General features: G+C 34.6%; 1 annotated feature.

Annotated features, from left to right (window-relative positions):
• Positions 1,328 to 2,527: an enhancer, noted in NCBI's record as "MED14-independent group 3 enhancer chr11:38615819-38617018 (GRCh37/hg19 assembly coordinates)". NCBI's record gives its function as "activates an origin of replication core promoter dependent on BRD2, BRD4, P300/CBP and CDK7 cofactors, and independent of MED14, by STARR-seq in HCT116 cells {active_cell/tissue: HCT116}" and the evidence as "EXISTENCE:reporter gene assay evidence [ECO:0000049][PMID:35650434]".

The raw sequence follows: 18,927 nt of genomic DNA, 5'->3' as shown, positions 1-18,927 counted from the left end.
CAATCACACTTAACTATGTTCATCAGTGGTTTTATGAAAAAGAAACATTACTAATCACACAAGAAAAAACAGGGGGATGTCTGTTGGAGCTATAGGATCAGGGCAATTCAATTGAACTCTCAAATGTAGATAAAAAGGAATCAGAGAGACTAAATCTTTTATTGTGGATGGGTAACTTTATCTACATGCCATAAATACTACAAATTTTCTTTTCACTTTGACATCTTTCTTTTCTGTCACACAGAAATTTGCTTACAGTAATAGGCAATTCTTTTTCAATTTTCTTCTCCCTCCCAAATAAGAAACCTCAACAAAGCAAAGTCCCACTCCTAAAAAATAACAGAGTTTATGATTTCTGCTTCTGGTTTTTGCCACCTATTTTTATACCTCAGTTATATTCTGTTTTCAATAGCATCTGTGTTGGTTTCCCAAGGTTGCCATAACAAACTGTCACAAACTGATTGGCTTGAAACAAGAGAAAAGTATTTTCTCTCACTTGTTTCTGGTGGCTAGAAGTCTGAAATCAAGGTGTTAGTGAGAGACAGGATGAGGTGGATTTCCTAAGCTGACCAAAAATCCCTAAGCCTAGCTGGGAAGGTGACCGCGTCCATCTTTAAACACAGGGCTTGCAACTTAGTTCACACCCGACCAATCAAGTAGTTAAGACAGCTCACTAAAATGCTAATTAGGCAAAAATGGGAGGTAAAGAAATAGGCAATCATCTATCACCTGAGAGCACAGAGGGAGGAAAATGATCAGTGTATAAACCCAGGCAATTGAGCTGGCAATGGCTACCTCCTTTGGGTCCCCTCCCTTTGTATGGGAGCTCTGTTTTCACTCTATTAAATCTTGCAACTGCACACTCTTCTGGTCCGTGTTTGTTACGGCTCAAGCTGAGCTTTTGCTCGCCATCCACCACTGCTATTTGCTGCCATTGCAGGCCCGCTGCTGACTTCCATCCCTCTGGATCCAGCAGGGTGTCCGCTGTGCTCCTGATCCAGTGAGGTGACCATTGCCGCTCCCAGTCGGGCTAAAGGCTTGCTATTGTTCCCACATGGCTAAGTGCCTGGGTTCATCCTAATCGAGCTGAACACTAGTTGCTGGGTTCCACGATTCTTTTCCATGACCCACAGCTTCTGATAGAGCTGTAACACTCACCGCATGGCCCAAGATTCCATTCCTTGGAACCCCAGGTCAGAGAACAAGAGGCTTGCCACTATCTTGGAAGCGGCCCACCGCCATCTTGGAAAGTGGCCCACCACCATCTTGGGAGCTCTGGGAGCAAGGACTCCCTGCTAACATTAGTAGGACAATGCTCTTTCTGGAGGCTCTACAAGTGGGGTTGATGCAGGATTTTGTACTCCTTAATTAGTCTAGATCCAGGTTCTCATCTCAAGACCAGGAAAAAAATTAGGCATGTGGACATCGAAGAGTGAGTGGATTATAATTTATTAAGTGAAAGGAAAGTTCTCAGCAGAATGGGGTCCTGAAAGCAGGTTCCCAGCTGCCCCCGTCACAGTTGAATAAAAGTTTTTATGTAAAAGTGGATGGGGTTGGGTTCCCTATTTGTATAAGGCACAAATTCCCAGTGGCTCCACTCCCTCCCTGCAGTGTGCATGTTGGGCCCTTAGTCCGCTGCAGGCATGTTCAGGCAAGCCCCCTGTGCAAGTTCCCTTAACTGCACAAAACATCTGGTGTAAGCCCTTGTGGGAAAGGTCAGCGACTCTCTGGGTACCCTCCTTTATCTGCCTAGGAGAGTTCTCTGCCTCCTGCCTTTATCAGGTGGGGGTTGGGGGATGTTGTCTCTGTCATGCCTTTCCCTTACCTTCTGGTGTTGCCAGCCAGTGGAGTTCCTTAGTTTGTAGATTCATCAGTAGATTCAATCTCTGCCTTCATTGTCACATGGTATTCTGTTTGTGTAGGTGTGTCTTCTGTTCTTCTGAGGACACCAGTTATATTCAGTTAAGGGCTCATACTACTTCATTAGGACCTCATCTTAGCAAATTATATCTACAATAAACCTATTTTTTAATTTTTATTTTATCTATTTATGTATTTATTTATTTTTGAGATAGAGTTCTGCTCTGTCGCCCAGGCTAGGGTGCAGTGGTGTGATCTTGGCTCACTGCAACCTCTGCCTCACAGGTTTAAGCGATTCTCCTGCCTCAGCTTCCCCAGTAGCTGAGATTTCAGGCAAGTACCATAACATTTGGCTAATTTTTTGTATTTTTAGTTGAGACAGGGTTTCACCATGTTGCCCAGGCTGGTCTTGAACTCCTGACATCAAGTGCTCCAGCTGTCTTGGCCTCCCAAAGTGTTGGGATTACAGGCATGAGCCACTGTGCCCAGCCTACCTATTTTTAAATATGGTCACATTTTGAAGTTCTGCATGGGACATGAACATTGGGATATACCGTTTAACCAAGTAGGCCCTTTTAAAGTAGCTATGTTATGTGTTTGTTTTCATTAGGCTAAAATACTTTGTTTCTTAACATGAAGGACATCATCAGGAGTCTATTCTCTATGACTCTAACAGCATTTACTAAAAGAAAAATTCCTTTGTATTTCATTTAAGGAAAGTTATTAAATGAATAATTCTACTCACTTTTAGACACAACTAAGACATGATATTTTAACTTTCTTTACTGTATAGAAACTACTTTTTCTTACAAGTATGCCAGCAATATAGAAGTTGCTTTCTAAATTAATAAATATTGACATTATACTAGACAATAAGCAATTCTACAGTGTCTTTCATACATTCCAACTAAGCATTTAGAAAAGTGAGTCATATAAATTTGCATTTGACTATGGCAAAATTCAGCAGTTTTTAGATTATGTAACTAGAAACCTGAGCTGGATGCAGCAAGTCACCAAGAAGAGATCACTGGACTTACAGTAAAAAGACCTGAATTCTACTTTTGTCTAAATTAGCTAAACACTATAAGATACTGACTCATTGCTATTCACTGAATGTTTATGCCTGTCCAAATTCCTGTGTTGAAATCCTAACCTCCCTTGTGATGCTATTTGGAGGTAGAGCCTTTGGAAGCTAATCGGATCATGAGGGTAGAGCCTTCAGGAATAAGACTGGTACCCTTGTAAAGAAATTACAGAAAGTTCTCTTGCCCCTTTAACCTTGTGAGGACACAGCAAGAAGGGGCCATTTATGGAACAGGAGGTGGTCCTCACCAGACACCGAATCTGTCAGTGCCTCAACCTTGGTCTTCCCAGCCTACATAAATTTGAGAATAAATTCTGCTGTTGGTAAGCCACCAAATCTATGGTCTTCTGTTATAGGAGACCAAACAAACTAAGATATTCATCATTTGAAGCTTATATCTAAAATAGTTAACAATATATCTGTCTTGTTTTTCAGGGTTATGTGAGATCAGATAAGGGTAATAGTTATAAAGGTCCTTTGCTAAAGATTAAATATGAATAAATATAAGAATGTAAGGCAGACCAAAATCACCAATTCTAAACTAAGCTAGAGGTGGCAGATGTTTTTCAATACTAAACCTATTTGGGTCAATTTGCTGTTGTGTTTCAAAGTACTATTTGTGTAGGAATTCATGGCTATGTTCTGGCTCAGCAGCTAGTGTTGTTATGAATGTATGACCATCTACTTTAGGGATGAAATGTGAGTAGTGATAAGTAATTAAGTATTTGCCATGTGACTTACTGCTTACTGCTGACAAACTGAGACCTCTGAAATATTAAAACATAGCATGCAAATTATTTATCTATTTTATGCACATGTATAACTTATGTTATTAGTATTCTTTTGAGTAGATATTATTTACATTTTATTTCTATTCACACATTTACTAAATGTTCACTGTGGTATACTGGCAAAGGGCATTAAGTTAGGAGCTGGATATACACTGGGGAACATAAAAGACTTGGCTGTTGCCCTCAAGAAGCTTGCATTCTAGCTGAATATATGCTAAGCTAATAAAAGTTCTGCTCTGAAACACAAATATATATATAAGCATGAATATGCCATTATTACTTTAAAAGGTAAAACAGAAAAAGAAAGTCATGGCATAACAAGAGCACAAGTTTTGTGATGGTCTGTTGTTGAATTCCTAACGTTCATATTTAATAGGTTTCTGATCTTAGACAAGTTACCATCTGTCAGACTCAGTTTCTTATTACATTAGGTTATTGTAAAGAATAAATAAGTTAATGCTATAAACTTCCTGATGTTAAGTAGGATTTTCACCAAATGTTAATATCCTTTGGCCATGATTACATAATAATTTGTCACAAATGGTTCTGCAAATTATATATCTTAATCAGTATTTTCACATATATCTGTAACCTACCTTTGAGCATCAAATTCCCTTAAAGTAAAAAAAGATACATTCATCTGAGAAATATATTGGTCTTAAACTTGCATCCACACAGACTTTAAAAAGTCTGCATCCAAAAATTCTTAATATTCATTAGTGTTACATAAAATTTTATCAAAATCAGTCAGTATTGTAGAAAGCAATTGAGACAAAGCTTGTTTAGTTCAGACATTAAACATGAGTCACTGAGAACCATCAGCTTGAACTAATGATTTCAGAATTTTTTAAAAGAAAACATTCTCAGATGATGTTAGATTAATGGAGAATGATTTCTAAAGCAAATGACTTTCCTTCCTCTGTCATAGTTTTATTGGCCCAAATTGAAATGGCCTCCTTTGTGTTATTTTTCAAAAGACATGACTTTTTTTGTGAAGTCAGAGCATGAGAAAATTCTGGAGTATTTAGAAATTCCAGGGTATACAACATGCCATAAAATGCTTGAAGTTTTTAAAAATGAGATTTTGATGTCATCAAAAAACCACAATAAAAATGAAAAACACAAACTGATCTTAATTCGAATTTCTGACCAATAGTTTTGAATAAGTAATTATACACTGGGCTTAAAGTGAAAACTTTAGTCTCATGGATGTTTTCTGCCATAAAATGAAAGCTCCAAACTAGATATTTTTAATGGAAATGCCCACTCAGCCATAACTATTTCACTGCTGTTTCAATGCACTAATAAATCATTGGTAGACCTTCATTCACCAGCAATAGATCTATCTTCAGTGATTATCAACCCTCTTTGTTGAAGTAGGTAATCGAATCATTCAAGCACCTTGAGATTTATGTCTCCTATAGAAGAAATGAAAAAGTTCATGTTCCACAACTTTACCTCATACATAAGCTGAAGACAAGTGCTTCTCTCCAGCAGATGAAGCAGAACTTCATGTACTGGGTAGCTACTGAAATGAAGTTTCAAAAGGAAAGGGTTTCCAAAGGTTATCTTCCGGAAACAATGTTTTTGAAACAATTACTTAGCTGGTTGTATTTAATTTTGTCATCTAAGGGCAATTATGGACTCCTAGAATTCTCAGCAAAAAGAAGTATGTACTAATGAGGGCTATTTATAATGTTTTATTTTTCATAACTTCCAATACATAACTTCCTTTGGTGATAACATATATAATGGTTCCCTCAAATTAAGTTTCAAAGTTTAAGATTTCTTAAACATAGTATTAATTCTGCCTTGAAAAATCCTTTAAGAACCAAATAAAATTATTTTACTTAGGAAAGCAAAATGTAAATACAGAGAGGTTAAAATGTGAAATTTCTTCTAATTGCATTCCTTCTCCTATAAATTTACCAAAAAATAATTTTGTAAGTAACTATCCATATCTATCTATTTATCAGTCTATGTATTATTTGTCCATGTCTACATGTACTCAAAACCTAAATTGAATTATATTTTATCTGGAATATATATTTTTTACATAAAATTGATATGTTGGAGGTATTTCTATATTAGCATAGTTTTACTTCCATCTTTCTAAAGGCTTATAATGTTTCATAATATACATGTCATATATTTTATTTAGTAATTCACTGATTGATTCACTGTTATATGATTTAAAAATATTACATTACATTGCAAACAGTGCTATGGTGAGCATTTTATACAAGCATCTTCATTCACACTTCTGTAGAATAAATTTTTAAAGATATAGTTCCAGATCAAATTTTGTATGTTTTAAATTTTGATAGCTATTTCTAGATTGTCATAAAGAAAATTATCATCTTTACAAATCAGACTGTATTTGTAGATTGTCATAAAGAAAATTAACATCTTTACAAATCAGACTGTATTTGCCAGCATGTTTTATAACCAGGCCAGAAGTTTCACAAACAATACTAAATGAAACCTAAAATCTATGCTTGCTCCTTGTCCTTTGAAACTTCAGCTATGTATTTTTCTGCCCTTCTAAGTGTGACCAAATTTTGACTGGGTGATTAAGAAATTAACAAATCAGATTTACTTTTCTTTTTTTTTTCCTGATTTTGAGGTTTTGTTTAATCTTTCTTTCCTTTTTAGAAAATAACAATTCAAAATATATAATCTAGAAAATAACATTATATGCAGTCTTATCCTTGAAAAATAATGGGTTCATAATTAGGTTGCATACAGAATTTTCTATTTTGTAATGTAATGTCTCATGTTTTTAAGTTAATTGTTCCATCTTGAAAATATTTGGCTCCAGTTTTGAAACAATTGTCTCCCCTTTATTTGTAAGAAAACAGAGTTTAATGCTGGTTTTATTTTTGCCAATAGTAAGATGAGCTTTCTTTAAGAGTGATGTTGGTTGGCTTAACTGTCCATTTGAAAAAATACTTCAGCCATTATATTTTACTGAAATATGCATACATGTGCCATATTGGTGTGCTGCACCCATTAACTCATCATTTAACATTAGGTATATCTCCTAATGCTATCCCTCCCCCCTCCCCCCACTCTACAACAGGCCCTGGTGTGTGATGTTCCCCTTCCTGTGTCCATGTGTTCTCATTGTTCAATTCCCACCTATGAGTGAGAACATGTGGTGTTTGGTTTTTTGTCCTTGTAATAATTTGCTGAGAATGATGGTTTCCAGCTTCATCCATGTCCCTACAAAGGACATGAACTCATCATTTTTTATGGCTGCATAGTATTCCATGGTGTATATGTGCCACATTTTCTTGATCCAGGAACCAACCCAAATGTCCAACAACAAATCAGATTTTCTAATTGGAAAGGGAGATTTTAATTACAATTTTTGTGATTCTTTACAGAGCAGAGGATCTGACACAAAGATGGTGAAAACCTCCATTACTGTTTTAGTCCTCCTGCTGTATTTAGCAAGATTTTAGCAAGAACTAAAATTGAAACTGGATTGCATTTAAAAGAAAACAAATTACAGCATTTCCTGGAGCAAAATTCACCCACAATGTTATATTACTGACTCCTGAGTGGTTTAAACTGCTCTCAATTTTTAGCTGAATTTGTCAGGAATATTTCATAACTCTTTCTTTCTATATGAGTATTAGAAAGATATCTACCATTTTGCTTACTCGCACAAAAATTACATTTGTGATTCATTTTTAAGCCACATGAAAAGCAAACTTTGTATGTGATTTTGTTTAGAAACTGGTATTACTATGTGTAGACACTGTAATGGAATCCAGGAGGTCTAAATGTTAATTCTTATCATGTCATTCACTAACCACAGCTCCTGACCAAGTAATTTAAATGTTCTGGAAATATGTTCGTTATCTAAATATAATTGGTTGGATCAGGTGCTATTCTAGGTGCTTCCAGTTCCCAGGAAATTCTAAGGATTGAATATATAATTTTCCTTCCTACAGCGATAAACTCTTCAAAACAGGCATGCATCAAGACTTGCAAAAATCAATAAATGACTATGGGGAACCATTATATTTTCTTAAACAATGAAGTTCACCATGGTAGTTAAGAGCATGGACTTTTGAATTCTTGAGAATTAGCTTCAGTTTCCTGCTCTGTCACTTAATAGCTTGTCCATTAAGCTAGTTAACTAACACTTACTTCTATCTGAAGAATAATGATAATAATGATATCATGTATCTTCTAAAGATTCTGGGAGTATAAAATGAATGTATTCATAAAGTGCAACATTCAATACATATCAGGTGCCCATTAACACTATTGATTAGAATTGTTATGATTAATTTGTGAAACATCATACAAGTTTTAGTCTTTCTCATTCCCTACATTAACTTGTCCTAATTTGGCAAAAACAGTAAGAATAATAAAACCCTTGGATGCTTCACTTCCTTCAGTGAAGCAGGGCATTTGGTGAACAAGTCACATTAGAGCCCTAGGTTTCCAAACTAAAAATGTCCTCTCTAAAAGAAAGCAAAAGCAAAATCCTACTACTGCAAGTTCCTGGTTTATTCTCAAGACAGAAAATTATTTATGAGGAAGGAACACATAAGTTAACAAAATCCTAAAGAGCAACATTTTCTATCTCAAGTCTGTCCAAGTGAACTTGAAACTGTCACCAAAGGCAAGAAAGATAACTTCAATAAACAGACTGTTGGCACCTTACTCTAGAGTTAGTGACATTTTTTCAAGGATTGTCTACTCAAAGGTGCTGAAAACTGTAACAAATAAGTGATCTGAAACATTCCTGAGATTTGCAAAGAAATAGAGGCAAAGTGTAATGTGATACAACTTGAAAACACTGAGTGTATTTTTTTTTAAGTTTTGAAGTTATGAAAGTTAGGGTTAGAAGGAATTTAGGAAAAATCAGAGCTTCAGTACTAGTTTCACATATCCTGTCAGTATCAGAAGATTTAGCTGATAGGTTGAGTTCATTCTGTTTCTTTCTTTCGTTCTTATCAAAGTCTGTAACATCAGTTTAAATGGCTTATGTTCAACACCTGCTCTGAAGGTAGATTCTTTTCTTGAGAATCCTTCTGAAATTTCTGATACCAGAATTTCTTATATCTTCTTAAAAATTCGAAAAAAAAAATTAAGGTTTATGTAAAAAATATGAGTTGGCATTATGAGATACAATCAGGATAAAATAAGAAAGTAATTTCTGATGAGGACATTTTTTGAATTGGATAAATATAGTTTTTATCATGAAAAACATTTTTCTATTGAAATTTTGCTAGTATCTATTTTGCATCCTAGACGCAGAGACTTCATTAATAAAAAAGTTGACACTACAGTCTTTTCTGTCTATTAATTTACTCCCAAACTTTGTAGTGCAACAAGAATTCACTGTGTGGGCCGGGCAAGGTGGCTCACGCCTGTAATCCCAGCACTTTGGCTGGTGGATCACGAGGTCAGGAGTTCAAGACCAGCCTGGCCAAGATGGTGAAACCCCGTCTCTACTAAAAATACAAAAAAATTAGCCGGGTGTGTTGGTGGGTGCCTGTAATCCCACCCACTTGGGAGACTGAGGCAGAGAATTGCTTGAGCTCAGAAGGCGGAGGTTGCAGTGAGCCGAGATAGAGCCACTGCACTCCAGCCTGGGCGACAGAGCGAGATTCGTCTCAAAAAAAAAACAAAAAAAAGAAAAAAAGAATTCACTGTGTGGAACATAAAATGGTAGGAATTTGGGGAACATCATTTAGGACTTTGTAAAAAGAGTCTTTAAAATATTTATAAAATTCAATCAAAGGAGCTAAGTTCAGACATCCTTGCTAAGGAAATTATAAAACAGAAAACCTACTTAAAAATTTATGAACAAATATGTTCACCTTTTCATGAATTTTGATAAATCATCTAAATATCAATTCATCAGAAGTTTTATAAAACATAAAAACTGTGAAATCTTCATCTACTCAATTAATTTTTGATATTTATTATAAATTCATCAAGTAATATGAAAAAATTTATGACACATGACAGAAAATAAGTAAAATGTAAGATACAGATGTGATATAATTTCCTCTCTCTATAAAAAAACTGTAATTCTCTACTAACTTTTTTCTGTAAAATACTACAGGTTACTTTCTTCATAGAGCTCAGTAGGTTCAAAATTTTCTATACATATAATTTATAAATTTATAAAATTGTTCTGAAGGAGAGTTTACAAAATCAAAGCTCTCTTAGAACAAAACAAAAACTTTAAAAATATTCCTTTATAGTGGTAATTTACTATGTAAAATATGTTGTGATGTGTGGGTGTGGGACATTATATTCCCTCATTAAAATTCAGACCTCCCTATTTACTTGAAATCCAGCATTTCTTTGTCCTACCCTCCTTCTCCCACCTTGCGCTCATATCTCCCACCTTCCATTCTGGACATGTGACTCATCCTAGGTACCCAGAATGATGCTTTATGAGGTTCCTTTCACTGTATGACTTCTCATTTGTAAATATTTTATTTTTCTCTTTCTCTTGATATTTTCTAGTCTCTTTCTTAAATTTTCTTCATTTATTTTCAAGAGGATCGTTATTTCTGTTTGAGTTAGCCTAGATCAGACTTTGCCATCCTCCAGAGTTCATTTTAAATCAAGCAATACCTACCAATTGGTAATTAGTTTAAATCAAAATAAATGATTTTGACTCATTAGATTATGGCAGAGCATAACTACACCATGATTCAGTAAACAGATAGGATCTTGATTTAAAATTACCACTTGGTCATATGCACACTACTGAAAGTCTGCCTATAAAACTCGTGGAGCGCAGTGCAGGTTTAAAAAAGTGATCTGCATACCGTTGTCCAAATATTTAATTTATACATCAAGCAAATAAACTTAATAACAGGAAAAGTCAGTTCAGATTCTGAATTTTCAGATTTGTCAGGGTATCAAATGTGACAATACAGGGAGAGGGATCTCCTGTCCTTTCCAGCTCTATTAGGCACAATACAGACACTATCCACCCACCACCACCCCACCGCTGAAAAATGCCTCCACTTGGCACCCTCATGGTCCTAGAATTTTCCCATATATACAATGAAATCTGCTCTACAGAGCAGGACCTCACAGACTTGGAAGTGTATTTGGAGCACGTGGCAGAATTCCAGACCTGGGTGATCAGAGCATAGTCTAGAAAGGCAGGCATGCACACTGAGTACCCGTAACCTTGTGGTTCCTTGGACTCCTTGACCACGGTAGAAGACAACCAAAACAAAGCCAAAGTCTTGTCCCTGAAAGGGCAGGGACACCTCGTTCAGGTGGTACTAAGCCTATGTTCTAGTTAAGATTTTTTGTTTGTGTTTTTTTAACTTAAGAAAGTGTATGTATAGGTGAAATAAACATTCTAATTATACTGGAAATTTGAGAGTCACTATTTCCCACTGAGTTATCTCATAGAGCTTTATTGTTGCCTCTCAGTTTTCCTCTGTGTCCTGATTATCTGTCCACTGATCTGTGCTTGTTCTTGCTTCATGCTCATTGCCTGGGCAAGCTTTTTATGTTTACAGCTATGTGATCAGGGTTGTTAGGAATAGATGAGTTGATATAGATATCAGTCCTATAATTAAGGCTCAAAAGAATGATCATCTTAGCCATAGGAGAAACAAGATCTTGAGGAGACACCCTAACATTTCCAAGCCACAATTTAATCTTTATTAACAGTCAGATGATGGATTCTCCCAGGTAAAAGTGTCAACCCATTTTTTATTATTTTATATTCGCGATGAAATTTTACATTTCAAGGAAGCTAATTTTACACCTAGATAGCTGGAGATGTGGTTAATAAGAAGAAACATATTTTGAATAACATTTGAAGGAAAATTAGAATTCTTCCTGATGTCTAATCATTTCTATTTAATCTTAGGAGGAAAATAATTGATTCTAATATTCAGGAGTCAGGACCATGGTTTAGCATGCTTTATGCTGAAAGATATGATTGAGAAATTATTGTCATTTTTCAATTAACAGCCATTTTGTTTGTTGGTATTTAAATTTGATTTGTAATAAAGCTTTTATGAGGCTTGTAAAGAATCAGAATAATAAGAAACCTGCATTTATTCCAAGGAAGAGAAAAACAGGGTCTAGGGAGAAGCATAAAGGGAAGGCAACTTGAATTTAGGTATTCATTGTAAAGATATTTTTGTGTATATGTATAGTAAGACAAGTCTAACACATCTGACATTGCACTTCTTATTGGTGGACATATATGCACTTATGTATGTATATATGTACATGTACAATTATGCTTATCCTAGTTCAAGACCAATAAAGTAGTCTGACCCATTTGCATATGGGTTATCTCTTGCTAACATATGGACTGAGACAAACCAAAAACAACAAAAATATTTTTGGTCTGACTATGTTCAGCTCTCAGTTGCTGTTCTGTTTGTTCATGAGATTTCACTTTAATTGGCTGTGGTCAGTAGAGTTTTCCAAAGGGTTCTTATCCCGCTGATACTCTCATTCTGTATGCTTCTGATGTCAGTCAAGGTTCTTGCTTGCAAGAAAAAGGAAATGAGCTATTTTAAGAATAAAAGCAGTTTTTTGCATCTCAAGAGCTCATGGAATCCAGCAGAGTCTAGATAACCTATTTGGAAAATGAACAGGAACGGAGGCAGTTCTAGGGCATGTCCAAAGCTTAGGTGGTATAATGATAGCTTTTCAAAAACAACCAGGTGATCAGGATGCTGCAGTACAAGGCATCTCTGTACACTCCTGTAGTTACAGAAATCAAATCTTCACTATTGTGTCACTAATTCAGTAATAAAAAATATTCCATAAATAAAATCTAATGTAGGACAATTCAAGTAATTCAATTTTGGCCAGGTGTCTCCAGAAGATAGACAATGGGAGGATCTTTCTACTTTACTTTATGAATAGAGTTATGTTACTATGTCCCTTCACGATTTTATATGATGGGATATCCTCCAAATAAGAAAAGTAGATAAATGTTGAGTAAGCCCAAATGACAAATATTTACTACTTATTTGCTCTCATCACTTGTTTAGATGTAACTGCCCCATATATAATTCCCTTTCCCCTCACCTTACTTCACCTTCAAAGTCAAGAGTCATACCTTGAATTCCCGGCAGGGTCAATTAGTTTGCTATTTTTTCAACAACCATTTTTGAGGGGCAACTATATACCAGCTCCTGACACTTGATTTTCAACATCTTCAAAAGTGAGTTCATCTTTTTCGCTCTCTTGCTGTTTATCATTTTTTTTTTCTGTATTTTATTGCTTTGTCTATGGCAAGACCATCACTTGAGATTCATCTTGGAGTTTTCCCTCTCTCTTCTCTAGTTCATTGCTAAATCATTCTAATTGCACCTTCTTAGTATTTCAGGAATTTGTACCTCACCCTTTATTTCTACTCTATTAGTACCTTTTACCCAACTATATCACATAACTGTAGCACAAGCTAACACATTTTGTCAAGGTGAAGTGAGCATTATTTTACTTCAATCCCTGAATTTTGGTCATATTTCTGTGCAGTAAATTTACTAAAACATAGCTGAAGAAAATGGATTTGCCTTGTGTTTGTTAAATGTTAGTTCAAATTTATTTAAGAAGTAAAAACTGTTTCATAATTGAAACCTATCAAAAATCCTCAATTTTTTTGTCCATTTATTTTGTCTTCACTTAAATGAGTCGCTATGAAGACTAAGAAAATATTCATGTGAAGCTTTAATGTCAGCACAATAGATGTGCTCTATACATGCTAAGTAAAGATAATTATGTTTTTATTGTTGATATGATTATTTATATTTTGTCTCCAACACCAAACGGGATGAATCTAGAGCAACTGAGTATGACTCCGCACTTAGCCCAGCATCTGGAACAAAACCAGAATTTCAATTGTTATTAAACAAAAAGGACAAACAGTAGGGTTCTGACCAATGAGCTCATTGCCTTCAATCAAGACAGAATAAACTGCCATTAGGTATTCTCATCTACATTTCTGTATAACAATGAATGACATCGCTGACATAAAGGGAAATCTGTGCTGTTAGCCTTTCAGTAATTTGCAAGACATTCCACCTAGTTTCTTATTGCATAGCATCATCTTAGAAGTATTCTTCACTTTCATTAGCTCAGGCATTGTTATTAACGGAATCACTTTCACGATCTCCAAATTTCAAACCACATATGTTAGATTTTCTAGTTGAAGGCCTCTGTATGGCTGAAGAACCACTCTGACTGTCCCAGAAGGTACTCAGTGTCTACCACCTCCATAGTGCAGAAATATACATAGCTCTAATATCACACTACTTTTTATTTAAACTTGTGTTTCTCTAAATGAAGATCATTCTAGTGAAACTATGGGTACTGTATACAATCCAGCCCCTGGGTGCATAAAATATAAACAGAGAGAGTAAATCCACTATAATATGCTTAACAAACCTCTTATTATAAGGAAATTACAAACATACGGTTCTTCTTCACTATAGAAATTGACAGTATATGTTAGCTCCAGCCAATTGCACGGATCCTGTTTATTAAATGTTGTCTCCACATCCTGAAAGGTATATCTGTCTATCAGAGGATAAGGACATTAATCCCCACTGTAGGATTGGAGGTGGAATTGAAGGATGCTCTGGGGGAATTTGCCTTATTGGTTTAAAGCACAGATCTCATAAAGCCCTTTTGCTGCCAAGTAGGATTATTTTTTTGGATTACTTTCAAGGGAGATAGAGTAGATAAACACTATTTTTCCCCACCACAAGAATTCATAGTTTCTGGGAGAACATATTTTTCAGTGTCTAAAAACATTCAGTGTTCATATAAATTGTAAGTCCTTGTCTATGAGTAAGACCTTTGTAAACCTTGTAAAAAGTCATTTGCATCAGTTTTAAGGTTCTAGAGAGTTATTGAGGGGTGGTAACTACACATATTTATGTATTTAATACTTTCAGTGACAAATTAGTTATAACTTTTAAAGGTATGTTATAAAGAATTTAGAGTTATGCTGTATCATAAAATACAATAATGAGTAATCTGTATATTTTTTCCAAAATTTCACATGCCAAATAAGTATTCTATAAATCCAAATTAAAATATCTTAATAAATTTGTATTCTTTTATTATTTGCCTTATTTTCTATGCTTGAGTATAATGTTGTACCATAAGCTTTGACCATTGATTACCATGGTTAACTTTACATGAGGTTGAATTAGGTTTACCACAATCAGTGTCCCAAATGTTAACCAAGTCAGAAGCATTTTTAAGGTACAAATGTTTAATGTCATATGTGTGAGCTTTTTTGATATTGTTATTTCTCCATCTCTTTGACTATTATACAAATTAGATAATTTCTTGAAAAATACTCTAAGAATATTAGGAAAAATCAGTGACCTTTATGTTGGTTCTTTATTCCATTCTCTAAGTTTGAGTGGTTCTAAGGTAATTTCATACATTTTACTTTCTAACAATATCATCTTTTTAATTATCTAGTAACACTTTCTGGGGTAATGTATATACCTGTTAGTAGCATTATGAAATGTTTCATTGAATTTTATGCATTGAGCATAAGTACATGAATAGATTTTTAAAATATATTATATGTAATTATATCCCAAGAACAGCCAGTTAGGTCAAGGATATTAGAAGATACTCTTGGCACTTTTATGACAGGAGATGTCCTGTTGGGCTAGAAATTAGTTAATTGATGTGAAATTGCAAGTAATTAGCACCAGTATTTTTCACAGATCCTCTGGAAAAGAAAAACAACGGTTGATTAATAGAAAGACATACTTACTGCAAAATGTTTTAAATGCTATAAATAAAATTGCCAGAGTTCCATGGGTAAAAATGTCCTTAAGGGCATTTAAATGTGAAATTAGAGCAATAAAAGAAAAAGCTAAGTGGTGACCCTCTCCTGGCCTCACAGTACCTATTTGTGTCAACATCCATTGGCTGCCACTATTATTGGTTAGACATCACTGCTTATTACCTGTTCTAACTTCTCAACATTCTAGGTTTGGAATCACTGATGTGAGAGAAAGAATCTGCATCACCTTGAAATGGTAAGGAAGAATGGAATTAAAAACTTCATAAGTTTTTTGCATTTAATATTTCCACTGACTTCCCAAACAACATCTCAGGTCCTTGGATTAACTATACATAAAATTGATATTTCAGCATTTATGTACTTTAAAGAATTATATATTTACCTTGAAGGACTAAGATGAATCTCAAACTGGCTGTTTTAATTGTTTTACATAGATTACATATTTGCAATCTCCTTAAGAAATATGAATTACACATACACTTATCTATACACATATTAAGTTAGAAAAAGTAATGATAGGATGTGGGAGTGAAAATATGTTCTGCTATCTGAAAGATAAATGGAAATCTGAATTAACTTTAATATTTTCATGGTAATTAAAATAAAGTGGTCACTAACAAGGACATATTTCCTAAAAGACAATGTTTCTCAAAGTCAACAGCAAATTTATCTTTCAGAAACATAAGGTTTTTCATGTAATCTGCCATACATACAGTGTTATCTATATCCATGATATCAATAATAGTTGAAAATTATATCAATGAAAAATATATCAATGATATTTGAGCTTTGAAATACGATTGTGAGATTTGGGAAAACATACTTAGAATATTCAAATTTTTAAGGAATTTATTATTAAAGTATTTATTAAGGATTTATTATTAAATAGTTTGCCAACTAAATATTAACTGCAAGTAATATTTTATTATTAGATAAAGTTTGAAAATGAGAAGTAATAAAGACACATGCACATATATGTTTATTGCAGCACTATTTTCAATAGCAAAGACTTGGAACCAACCCAAATGCCCATCAATGATAGACTGGATAAAGAAAATGTGGCACATATACACCACGGAATACTATGAAGCCATAAAAAAGGATGAGTTCATGTCCTTTGCAGGGACATGGATGAACTGGAAACCATCATTCTCAGCAAACTAACACAGGAACAGAAAACGAAACACTGCACGTTCTCATTCAAAAGTGGAAGTTGAACAATGGGAACACATGGACACAGGGAGGGGAACATCACACACTGGGATCTGTCTGGGAGTGGGGAGCAAGGGGAGGGAGAGCATTAGGACAAAAGCTAATGCATGTGAAGATTAAAACCTAGATGACTGGTTGATGGATGCAGCAAACCACCATGGCACATGTATACTTACATAACAAACCTGCATGTTCTGTACATGTATCCCAGAATTTAAAGCAAAATAAAAAAAAGAATAAGAAAAAATGAGAAGTGAAAAAAACTGGCTGCACTCATATTTAACTTAAGTGCTTTTATCAACAACCAGGACAAATTAATTTTGTTTTCCTATGGGAAAAACATTAAATTCTCAAAAGAGCCCCTAAACTTGAGAAATTTACAGGTTCATTGTGACAGCTAGAAAAATTTAAAACAAAAATCAAAATAATAGTAATAATATATAATTTAGAATTCAACTTCAAAACTGACACTAAAGTTGTTTTAAAAAGAGTATAACAATGAAAAGAAAAAGAAATATATGCACAAAAGTTACCAGAAAGAGTATTTAAACCTTTCAAAGGAAATGTTAGTAGAGTCAAATTTAGGAGTTTTAGAGTGACTCTTTCAATTGATAAAAATTCTATGAGAGATTTCTAATACGATGCCATCAAGAAATATTTGAAAATCAAATTGAGCACCATTTTTGTGCTTTTAATCAGACCTATTATCCCTACTTTTCTCTTTTAAAACTTTTCATACTGTATTCCCTCAATTTATATATTTTTCTTCTCTTTACTATTTATTTTACTTATTTTTTCTACTTCATTTTATTGACTTAGCTAACAGATGCCACACACTCCTGAGCCTGCCTGTACTTAACTAACATCTCCAAATTTTCTTACAAAATTTTACTTTCAACTTATCTAATTTCTAAGTAATGCAAAACATATTTTAAAAAGTGTAAGTAGTTCATTGTACACTACTATACTGTATAGTGTTTGTAATCAGAGAAATTCTTTTGTTTTTATTTCTCTAGCATATTTAATCCAAATATTCCTGGCATTAGAAACAGAAACATTCAAAAATCCTAAATCACTTTAGGTCCAAAATGTATTGCATTCAATTTGGAATCTCAGTGCTAGAGTTCCTAACTCCATTGTTTATGGTAATATTCAGGCCACAACACTGTAATCAAATGGCCTTGCCAGGAACACTATTTATCTTCTGTAATAACTTAAGTCATAAAATTTAGACCTTCACCTGTGGTAAAATTGACTACTGGTTTCTAAACATCCTCTCATTTGCTAGATATTCATTGGTTATTTACTGGATCACAAGAAAAACTGTGTGTGTGTGTGTGTGTGTGTGTGTGTGTGTGTGAGTGCGTGTGAACGTGCATGTGTGTTTGTGTGGACAACATATGAACTTCAGGGATACAGTTATTTACCCCAGTTTTTAGTATTTTAAAAAAGAATTTGGCCATATTAGCACATACAACTGAATATCAGCCTTGGCCTTGAGTCATGAATACTTCTCTCTAATAAAATGGAAACACATGCAGACAGGAGTTACATCTAAACAGAAATATAGTCAAAGGCTAAAGAACTAGTTGAAGGATTCTAGACTCATAGATATTTTCATTAAATATTGTTGGTGTGTATTTTCAGGGTTAATATGGCTTGGATATGTGTCTCCTCCAAACACCTCATGTTGATATGCAATCCCCAATGTTGGAGGTGAGGCCTGGTGGGAGTGTTGGATGATGGGAGCAGATCACCAACAAATAGCTTGGTGCTGTCCTCACGATAGTAAATTCTCATGAGACCTGGTTGTTTAAAAGTGTGTGGCACTTCCATTTCACTCTCTTGCTCTCACTCTCACCATTCTGGCTCCCTGTTAACTTCCACCATGATTTTAACCTCCCTGAAGTCTCATCTGAAGCAGATACTAGCACCATGCTTCCTCTAAAACCTGCAGAACAGTGGTCCAATTAAACTTCTTTTCTTTATAAATTACCCAGTCTCAGGTATTTCTTTAAAGTGTACAAATGGACTAACATAAAAAATTGGTACCAGGAGTGGGATGTTGCTATAAAGCTACCCAACAATGTGGAAGCAACTTTGGAACTGGGTAATGGGCAGAGGTTAGAAGAGCTTAAAGGCCTTACAAGAAGACAGAAAGATGAGGGAAAGTT

This window comes from Homo sapiens, chromosome 11, assembly GCF_000001405.40.
Source record: "Homo sapiens chromosome 11, GRCh38.p14 Primary Assembly".
In the NCBI taxonomy this organism is placed as follows: domain Eukaryota; kingdom Metazoa; phylum Chordata; class Mammalia; order Primates; family Hominidae; genus Homo; species Homo sapiens.
Note: the sequence above shows the minus strand (reverse complement) of the source record. Positions and strands in the feature narration are given on the sequence as shown.